Raw genomic sequence first — 10,766 nt, 5'->3', positions numbered from 1 at the left:
TTGAACTCCTGACCTCAGGTGATCTGCCTGTCTTGGCCTCCCAAAGTGCTGGGATTACAGGCATGAGCCACCGCACCCGCCCAGGTTAGACACATTCTTTTTAATAGCTAAGCAAAAAAATCCCCTGAAGCCCCCAAAACTCTGAAAACAATACTGACCTAATTTCTACCGGAAAGAATTGTACAGTGTTGAGTGTGGGCTCTGAGTCATACTGCTTGGGTTTATCTACCATTCCTGTAATTTGACATAACTCAGATTCCTTTTTTGAAAAACAAGGATTAAATAGTGCCTCCTTCATAGGGTCTCTGTGAATATCAGAGATAAAGTATGTAGTCTCCTTACCACAGCATTTACACACAGTACCTGCTCCTCTGAGTAGCATGGGGCAGAGTTAGGTCCTCATTTTTAATGGTCTCATATAAGATTTCTGAACTACAGAGGACATTACTATATCTGGGTAGGAGGAAATAAATCTTTAAATTTGAAATAATAATATACAATTTTAAATATCATTTTCCAAATTTAATTTCATTTTCACCTTTAATATTTCCTAAGGATTCAAGAATCAGATGCAGGGATTCTGTTTCTCTCCATTTTTATTGTTATTGTTGTTGTTGTTTTACATTTAGGATTTCAATGTGGAATCTCAGATTTCTTTTGTGAACTCCTTTACTGTCAGACAATTAACCAGAAATACCAAATAAATGAAGATGGGAAAACACTACATATTTAACATAAAATCTTTTTTAGATGTCTGTATTCTCAAGAAATTATGATTAGGACATGTTTACATAGTTAAACGAAACCTCTGGCCTCTGCTAGAAAAATATATTTATCTATTGAAAAAAAAGCGGGCATAATTCCAAAATATATCATTTCAAAAGTTCTAGTGTTACCAGTGGTGAGTATGGGCACGCTCCATAGTCCTTGATCTTTGTCTTCTTGGGAGAAAGAATTCAGCCAAGAGACAGAATTATATTTAAGGCAGAAACAAGAGTTTATTGAAGCAAAAAAAAGTACACTTGGATGGAACGAAGGGGGACGTCAAAAGATTGAGTACCCAGCTTGACCTTTGTCTTAGGGCTCTTAGAGATTTATTATTTCCTATTTTTTTCCCCATCTCTTCCCTCCCTGTATGTGCAGTGGTTTGCCAGTATCTGGAAGGGCCTTTTGGTGATTGAAGTTATGCACATGCTCTCTTAGGGCAATTTTCCCTTACTGGGCTAGCACTCCCGGCCAAGCCCCATGGGAAGGTCATATATTTGTCAAACTCTGTCATTTTGCCCCTTACTGCGCATGTCTGGTCATGCCCCCAGAGGAAGGCCAAACTCTGCCATCTTAAATTCTTATTGGGAAGTTGTTGCCCATGAGCTCAAGATGTCTCCTGTTAGATTTTCCCTTCCCTGTCACCAGCCCTCACAGTCTTTGTGGCGCTGTCCTGCCCTGTTCATATCTGCCTATCTACTCTAAAGCTAGTATCTTTTAAATAAAAACCCTTCTATAACTCCACATCCCCTTCCAGCTACCCCATTTCTCTGCTCTCTTTTCAAATTGTCTGCATTAGCTGTTCTTTATTCTTCATCCCCAACTCCCCAGTTTCCATCCCTTCATTTGTGTAACTGTCTCCAAATGCAACTAAAGCAGCGGACCTCTTTTCAAAGCATTTGCTATTGTTGAGCCCTCTTATTTCCTGGCTCCTGTGACACTATTCTCTGGTTCCTGCATTCCTCCTGTATCTGTTTCTTTTGACGACTGTTTCACTACCCCCAACTTCTAAATGTCAACACTTAGTGGGGCTTTTCTGCCTATGTGCTCCCCTGGGGTGAACTCAGCTGGTTTAATGACTTAAAATACCATTTTCCTACTAATGACTCCCAAACTTGAACCTAGACCTCTTTCTTGGGCTGCAGACATATATCCCATCACCTACTTGACATCTTCATCCAAATATCTTATGAACACCTCAAAGTTAACTTTTCAAATAGAACTCTTTCATTTTCCCCACTTTCCCAAACCTGTTCCTCCCATTACACTGAAGTCAAATCAGAACCAAGAAGTTATAGTTAAGGGCACTTGCAGCTACTAGGCTGGCTGTCAGACATCTATAGATTTGGCCAGTAGGGAGACAATGAGTCCAAATAGATTGAGACAGTTTATTATTTACACAGACAGCAAAAGCAGTATCAGGATGGAGTCAGCTCCCTGTATACCTGGTCCTTAGGGACATCCCTGGATGACACTGAACCAAGGGGACAAGATGACAGATGACAAGTAGAAATAGCTCTGTTGAGGAGCCAACTCTAAACTATAGCTAAACATTTTTATAGTCGGTATCTGCACCTGAATGAGAGTGAGGTCACTGGAAACCAGCTGGATGAGAAATTGCCTCACGGCAGCCTTTTGCAAGACAGGGAGGTATTTTGCAAGATAAATGGCCCTTTGACAGCTCCTTTACGATGGCCTATCTTGCCATGGAGGATCCAGAGAGGATCACGATGTTTTCTACCAAGACCTGTGTCAGACTGTGGTTGAGTTTTGCCTACGTGGACTATGTGCAGTGAGCAAGGTAGCCACGGCACCATGCCAGATGTGTTACCCCTACAGTAGTATCTGATTCTACCCCTTCCTTTAGTCTTATATCCAACCCATCAGAAAATCCTGATGATTCTACCTCTAAAACAAATCTGCTCTGCCTTTTCACAGCCATTGTAAACCCAAGGCACACTATATTCCATTGGGAGTGCTATATATCCACTCTTGCCTTCTTACAATCCATTCTCTACACAGCAACTAAAGCAATCGTTTGAAAATGTGTATATGATGACTGTACATCCTTGCTTACAAAAAATTTCAGTGGCTTTCTATTACACATCAAATAAAACTCATTCTTGGTCTACAAGGTCTTGCATCATCTGGCCCTTAACTACCACTCCAGTATCATCTCATACCACTCTTCCCCCTCACTCATGATGCTTCATTCCCAGTGGTCTTTTTATTCACAGAACATAACAAACTCTTTCCCACCTCAGGTACTTTGTACTTGCCGTTCCCTTTGCTTATAACATGCTTCATACCAGGTTTTACTTGACTGTTTCCTGCTTAACAATTAGGTTTTAGCCAAGTAAACAATTAACAAGTTAACAACTAAAACTTAAAACAATTAAGTTTTAGCCAAGCTATCTCCTCAGAGAGGATTGTCCTGACCTATGAGAAGTAGTCAATTGGCCCCCAGTTACTCTCTCTCCTATAATCTTGTATATTTTCTAACTGTGACCTGTGATTTTCTTGCATGTATGTTTACTTATTATTGTCTCTCTCTCTCACCAGAATGGTAAGCAAAGAGCAGAGACCTTATATGTCTTTGTACTTCTATGTCCCTAACACCCACCAGACACAGTTCCAATAATATTAAATACTATTCCAATATTTGCTGAATAAGTTATTTCTAGTACTTTTTATAAACACAAAACAAAACGTTAACTTTTTTTTAACAGTTAAAACACATTTTCTAGTTCCATCTTGCTTTCTTAATTTACTTTTGTCTTCACATCAGATTTAATAAAATAATTACAAGTCAGGAATCAGAATACCTGCATGTTTATGGAGTAAAACCAATAATAGTCAAATAACTTATTACCTTTAAGTGTAAAAATGTGTTTATTCACAACCATTTGTAAATTACCATTTGTTACCATTCCTTCAAAAAATTCTTTATGAACAAAAAGCCAAGAAAAATTACAATCGTAGCTTATGCCAAACCAAAAATATACATCTGATGTATACAAACTTTAAAAAGCATTAACACAGGCAATGTGAATATAGATTACCTTAAAAATATTTCCAAGACACAGCTACAACTTAAATTATGTTAAGACAGATATAAATAATAGCATTACCTAATGTATTATATTTACATATTTAAAGTATCATATTAATTTCTATGACATAAAAAAGGAGATAAAACTACAGATGTCATTGCTTAGCAGTTCAAATATTGAAAGGGCCACATGATTTTTTTTTTTAAGCACAGCAAGAACTTTAGGTTACTATTTATATCTGGACCTTCCTATATTTATAAGAACATGCACCGTCATTGTTGCAAGAGGAAAAAAAATTAAAAACATTAAGGAAAAACCAAAAAACAGTTTGCTTACTAAAATCATACCAAATCCTCAGCAAAATCAAGGAAAGCAATTATGGAGTGTTTTCTATCCCTGGCCTTGTAAATTGACATATACATTTTAGAGAAAAGAACAGTAATTGTCTAGCACAAAATGCAGTTATAGATATTGATATGCTTAGTTCTATCCCATTAAAGCACCTTGTACTACAAGGTAAAGGAAGGCTTAATAAAATCAATGGAGCCTTTCATACCAGAAAGGATTTTATTTGAAATACCCGTATTACCTTTTTAGATTTTCTTTTCTGAAATCATGCAGAGAATATGTTCTGTGTAAAATCTAACATCGTTCATTGGAAATATAGAATTTTTTAAAAATAATGGCACCTAAAAACTTAATACTGTATATCAATTAAAGTCAATATAGTGGCATGTAAAATGAAGTGGAAAAAACTAAATATATATATATATATATCTTCTTAAATATTATTTTTTATTATTACCAACTTGAAATGTCCAAACTCTGAAGGGTTATTTTTATATTATCTTTTGTTCAGATTGAATCAACATTATCATACTAGGACATGTAAATAAACACATGTAATGCCGATACTTCAGCATTTCTTAGAGTCATCTACCCACATCAACTGTACTTACTATTAGATAATAAAATCCAAAGAAGTCATAGAAATAAATAATGCTGGAAACGGGAACACTATTCTAAATCTGAATCTGACGATCCCTCCTCATGCTTCCTTCACATCGGCTGAGAATTAACAAAAAAGTCTTAATATTTTCATAGTTAGACAATGAAATAGGCTTCATAAATCATTCAAAGTAAAATTAATTTTAAAAATTGAAAGTGGAAATCTACCATAGTAAACAGAAATGCTATAAAGACAAGACAAAGTAAATTTAATCAGTAACATGACAGGACCATTAAATTGGTCTTGAAAAGCAGAAGGCAGATGATGAAATTGCACTTAATTCTGTATCAATTCAGATCCTATCATCCCTACTCCTTTGTAATAAAATAAGCATTTACAACATGGTTTCTTACACATCTCCCTTACAAAAAGGCTAAGCACAATCACTTATACATTCTAGTTGGTTTTTAACATTTGGTCATAACTGATAAACAAGGTCACACAATTTTACCCTATCGAGTCTGTTGATCTGTGTCAGAATGCCTTATGCCAGAATCAGACAGTTCTAATACAGGATTTACAAATCCAGAATACTCGGAATTTCCATTATCATCCATTTCGGCACTAACAAAATCATTTTCCCACTCCAGCCCATTGGAATCATCAGAGGCTGATGTAGGATTACTTCCAGTCTTCTTGTTGCTATACTTAAGTGCTGCCCGTAGAATGTCTTCCTCTGTTTTGGAACGTTCTCTCATTGGAAGCATTCTATTCATTCCTATGATTTGAACAGAGTTTTCAAAAATCTCAGAACAGATAATAAAGCTATATTTAAAAACTCCCAAATTTAGCAATGTAGTTTTTATTTAACTATCAGACTTGATGTGTGAATTAACTTAAAGACCCAGTCCCATGGAGGCCTTCTTAAGGGAAATTGTTGGGTTCTAACCCTGAAGTATGCCTCAGATAAAAATAAATATTAACAGTCACCAAAGGGCAGTTTTGATGCATCGATTATCCGATAAGATGAAATTCCTGAAGACTCATAAATAAAACAGAATGGATGGAGGATTTCAACTGCTGTTAGTCTCATATAGCCAAGTTAGTATGTCTGCCAAAGTCTTTTCCTACCCACATAATTTCATTTCCCAGAGAATGACAATCACTCTAATGATAACATGTACTTTTCCAGCATTTACTAGGTTCCAGTTAATGTGACATATATGCCACAGATATGAACTGATTTAATCCCCAACAACTCTATGGAGTACAGTACTATCATTATTCTCATTCTATAGCTGAGGTAACCGGGACAGAAAGGCTAAGTGATTTGGGTAAGGTCACACAGCTAAAAAGTGGTGAAGCAAGAATTTTAATCCATTCAGTCTGGCTCCAAAGTCTGTGGTATTATGCTCTTCTGACTCTACCACAACAGAGTAGAGACATTTCTATGGGAAACTGTTCTAGATCTAATTCTGAACAAAATGAAATTGGTAAAGTGAAAGTGTCAATAATCTTGAAAGGAAAAAATAATGTCATTTTACTGGCAGAAGGAAGGGAGACAGGACAGAAAAGAAATTTGAATCTGTAAGTACAGAATCAACATTGGTAACAGAATTAAAATCTAGGATTCACAAAGAGATTGTAATATTCCCAGACACATTTAATGATTTTCTTTTTTGACCTTAAAGCTCAGATCCCACCATAAAAGAACATTTAAATCTGTATCACCGTTGTCTGTCACTCCTGAAAAATCACAAAGACTCAACCCAGTAAAACAAGTTATTTCTATAGATAAGAAAAAAATATGAGCTAGATACTAATATAACTTTGTAGATCTGTATCTGGTGGATTTGTTTCTGTGGATTTATTTCTAAGAGAAGTTATATTTAACTTCTGGCTTTGGACTGTCCACAAGGGGGTAGTAATCCTTCATACTGAGTAATGTCATGGGCTTGGATTACAAAAACCTTAAAGAAATCGACATTTATTTTCTAAATCTAAAGAAACATTAAAAATTAAGCAATTTTCTAAAAATTTTTATCAACAGAGATCATCACCAATACAATAATGGTCTAAAAAGTGTTTATATGATTTTTCAAGGCCTTGAATTTATTTCCATTTAAATAAAGACCAAGGTAGATTTACATAAATCAACACAGATTACGTTAAATTTTTCAGGTAAAATTGTGAATTATAAAATACCTTCTTCATCTTCCCACTCTAGATCTAAGGATGTGCTGTCGTCATTTCCACTAGTTGATTTAGTTTTGGTCATTAAATCACAACTGCTTTCTGTATTTGGTGTCAAAACTGTAGCATCTGATGAGAGTCCTAGAATATACACGAAATACAATTGAATACTCTCATCTACTCTTCCACCGCAACAGCCGTTTTATTTTGTAACAATTATCTGTCTCTAAATATTATTATTATTACTTTTAGCTTCATAAGAAATAATTCTGGAAATCATTTTATTGGTAAGTTTCTGTTAGGAACAGTATAAAGAAACTTTTCTCTCTTTTTTTTTGCCATCTAAGCATAGCAAACATGCAAATATAAATGATTATAAACTTTTCAAATATGATTAACTCTAGATAATATTTTTAACAGTCAATTACAAAGCGGCACAAAAAACAATGAACAAGAAAGATAAAACAAAAAGCAACCTATATTTTCAAAAGGAACCACTACCATACTATGCTTCCAGTATTGGGAAGCATAAGAGTTTTTGCTTTTGAAACCTGAGGAAATATTTTAATCTTATAAGTCAATCTGTAATAAGTAAAAAATAAGTACACTTTTCTATTACTTCCTCCCACCTTTCCTTTCTTTTTTTTGGAAAGGGAAGGGTTAGGATCAGAGTAGAAATGGAAAAAGGAGTGCTTGACTTCCTATATGGATCTACAGAAATAGTCTGAGATTTTTCTTTGCTCCAACTTCTTTTTAAAAAGAAAAGATGAGGTTGTATAATTAATGACTACCTAGGAAATTGACCTATCTGGGAATTACAAATTTAAGAACAGAAAGTTCTTCTACAGAAACAGAGCCAGAATCTCTACTTATCTGTTTACTGTGGCATAAAAAGTACAGAAAATACTTTAAAAAACTTACTACTACTTCGAAAAACTTCATACTGTGACTTCATATTTCTCAAACAAGATTCGAAGTCATCTTCTGGTCCTGAACTGTAATAAAAGTGAAATAATTTTTTAATATATTCATGGTAGCTGCAATATGACAAATATATAAGCTAATGATGGCATTGTGGCTTGAAGACCTATGTCATACAAATTCATAACTGCTGTACAATTAGAATAACCTAATGAAAATAGTTCTTAATTTTCTTAATACTAAAATGAAACTGAAAATAAGAAGATTTTCATTAATCCTGAAGTCCAATCTCCAAAGCTTAGCCATAAGTCCAACTTTACAATAATGAATCATGAACAATATTCTTTGAATGAGTAGTGATACTTGTGGAAATGTGACACTGAAATATCTCTTCCAAAAAATGACCACACATAAACTTTATTATAAGAAAGAGAGGGACTAAGGAAAACACAAACAACTGGGGTATAAACAACTCACCCAAAGGCATTCAGCTATTGTATCACATCTATATGGGAAATGAGACCACTCTTAAAAATGCAATAAAGTCAGTTTAAATTAATAATAATGTTTCAACTTAAATGTTCTCAGTTTTCTTCCAAGACAATGTCTTTTAGAAGGAATAATTTTTAGGGAACACATAAACATGAATGCGTATATACACATCTTGAGGTGAATGATGCTCTACACCGCAATAAAATGTTCTACCACAAAGGGAAGGAGGCATATGTTTCACTATTTACCTTTGATATTCTCCATTGTTGGAAGGATGATATTGCTGCACAATTCTCTGCCTTTCTTGCTTTGGAAACATAATGTAATAAAAAAAATCACTCTGTTGTAAAATTATATATTTTAAAACCACTCATGCAACACCAAAAAGTATTTTTTTCTAGTTTCTAAAAAAAAAAGTTATTTTGTTGATATATTTTTCCTTAAATCCATCACTATTCAATTCTATATCCCCTTATTTATGGGAAGAATTTTTCTGAATTTATCTATGTGTAATCCAGAAGTGGCCAGAATATTCATAGTGTTATTAAAAAATAACTTTTTTTTAACAGATATGTATTGATATCCTTAACATTCTTAGTATACCCAAGAACTTCCAACCAACTGGAAAAATGAGGAGCAGGAAAGGAATAGTTAAAACAATACATGAAGTTCCATTCTGGGTGAAATAAGTAGCAATACAACAACAGATTTATAAGATCTGGCTGAGTTGACTCAGAAATAATAAAAGCAATTGGCTAAGATTTAGAAGAACTGTTGGGAGTTGTGGCTCTGATAGCTATTAGCTATATATCCCTGGCATGGCCTTTACCTACTGTTCCTTCACCTATAAATTACAGATAGCTATATTACTGCTCTAGCAAACTCAGGGTTCCCATGAAAATCAAATGACTTGGTGGGTGTCAGTGTATGTCTGTGTGTCAGTATGTGCTGTATAGACTGTAATGTGTTCCTACATCAAATATTTAAACCAGGGTAGGAAAAACTCAGAGAATCCTGGAAATCACCCATATGGATGCTGCATATGGAATGCTTTGTCTTTAAAAGGGAAGCAGTAGATAATCTATTACAGTAAAAAGTGTCTATATGATAACCAGAAAAATACTTTTCTTAGTAGAAGGTAAAAGTTAAAAACTTGTTCATTATTTAGAACTGACTTAAAAAGAAAATATATTCCTTCATATAATCTGCTAAAACAGCAGAGAGAGAGAGGGAAAAAAATGAAGGAAAGTTGGGGGGAGAAGGACACAGTTCACATAGAAATCATGTAACAATATGATAGACATGATATTTCAGTTTCTCTAAGTTTTACAATGTGACATGATCTTTATACTACTTCAGTTAACACTACAGAGGTGAATCCAAACAGGCAAAATATGGAGGAAGATATTAAGGATACCAGCTAAGCACTGTTGTGCTTGAACTTTGGCTCTGGCCCTTATTAACTGTAGGATCTCAAGCAAGTTACAAAACATATCCTACTCTCAGTTTTCTCATTTGTAAAACAGGGATTAAAAACACTATCTCATAAGATTGTTGTGAGGATTAAATAAGGTAAAACATTGCTGCTCCTGACAGTTAGGGTTCCATAAATGCCTGTTACTTACAGCTGCCAGGCATTATGGTAATGCAGCATGGTAAGATACGGTAAATCTGCTGCCTTCTCTGATAATATTCCAACGATTTCTCAAGACCCAAACTCCCAATCTCCCAAGGACACAAGAATAAAGATGAGAAGCAAGTAATAATTTTATGGGGAAAATAGCACAGTTTATCCAGTTCCAGGAAAAAAAGAAATTCTAGCAATTTAAAAAACTGTTAAAAAAAAAAAAACCCTCACAAAACAAAATGCTTTGCCAATTATATTTAAAGGCTAGTTTTGCAACGCTTTCCCTCTAAGAGTACATTTAATTTTTCCAAAAGAATACTGAATTTTATAGCACTAAAATTTATCTTTAGGATAAACAGGAATCAGCATTTGCTAATCTAAAGCTAAATAGCATTGAGTATCAAGCATGTAATCTGATGTTATTTCTAGCTGTTAATGACTGACTAATTTGCCTTGAAAATTCTTAAGAATATATGGGTAAACACATTCGTTGTTAAACAAGAAGTCCTTGAGAATAGGAAAAAAAGAGTCCCAACTAAGATTTGTCAGAGAAAATAAGGAGAAAAGCAACCCTAATATATGCTGGGGTCTTTTCCCCTCACCTCCAAGAGCTTTCGCTGCTTTGCTGCCCTGGCTGCTTCACGCTGTGCAGCGTATAAAGCTTCTTCTTCTAGTCTTAACTTCTCTTCTTGTAAGGCTAACTGTACATGAACAAAACGATAAGGATTAACAAAAATCAGAACCTGTCTAACTGCTCTAAAAATAA

At 34.6% G+C, this 10,766-nt stretch overlaps 1 protein-coding gene across 6 annotated transcripts in view, besides 1 other annotated feature; it reads right to left on the bottom strand.

Annotated features, from left to right (window-relative positions):
• Nucleotides 1-578: 578 nt before the first annotated feature.
• AP1AR (adaptor related protein complex 1 associated regulatory protein) overlaps nucleotides 579-10,766 on the bottom strand; it is a 41,324-nt gene continuing 31,136 nt past the window's right edge. For 3 of the 6 annotated variants that reach the window (NM_018569.6, XM_017008380.2, XM_047415927.1), the window contains exons 6-10: nucleotides 10,603-10,701; nucleotides 8,622-8,680; nucleotides 7,882-7,955; nucleotides 6,973-7,101; nucleotides 579-5,545 (exon numbers count right to left, since the gene is read on the bottom strand). In NM_018569.6, coding sequence (NP_061039.3) covers nucleotides 5,280-5,545; nucleotides 6,973-7,101; nucleotides 7,882-7,955; nucleotides 8,622-8,680; nucleotides 10,603-10,701 — 627 coding nt within the window. In that variant the 3' untranslated portion in view covers nucleotides 579-5,279. The remainder of the gene's footprint in view (nucleotides 5,546-6,972; nucleotides 7,102-7,881; nucleotides 7,956-8,621; nucleotides 8,681-10,602; nucleotides 10,702-10,766) is intronic. The other 3 variants (NM_001128426.3, XM_047415928.1, NR_136622.2) reach the window with 2 other exon arrangements.
• Nucleotides 2,191-2,310: an enhancer, noted in NCBI's record as "active region_21822". NCBI's record gives its function as "activates an Ori minimal core promoter by ATAC-STARR-seq in GM12878 lymphoblastoid cells {active_cell/tissue: GM12878}" and the evidence as "EXISTENCE:reporter gene assay evidence [ECO:0000049][PMID:35858748]".

The sequence above is a fragment of the Homo sapiens genome, chromosome 4 (assembly GCF_000001405.40).
Source record: "Homo sapiens chromosome 4, GRCh38.p14 Primary Assembly".
Taxonomy (NCBI): domain Eukaryota; kingdom Metazoa; phylum Chordata; class Mammalia; order Primates; family Hominidae; genus Homo; species Homo sapiens.
This window is presented reverse-complemented; position numbering and strand designations above follow the sequence as displayed.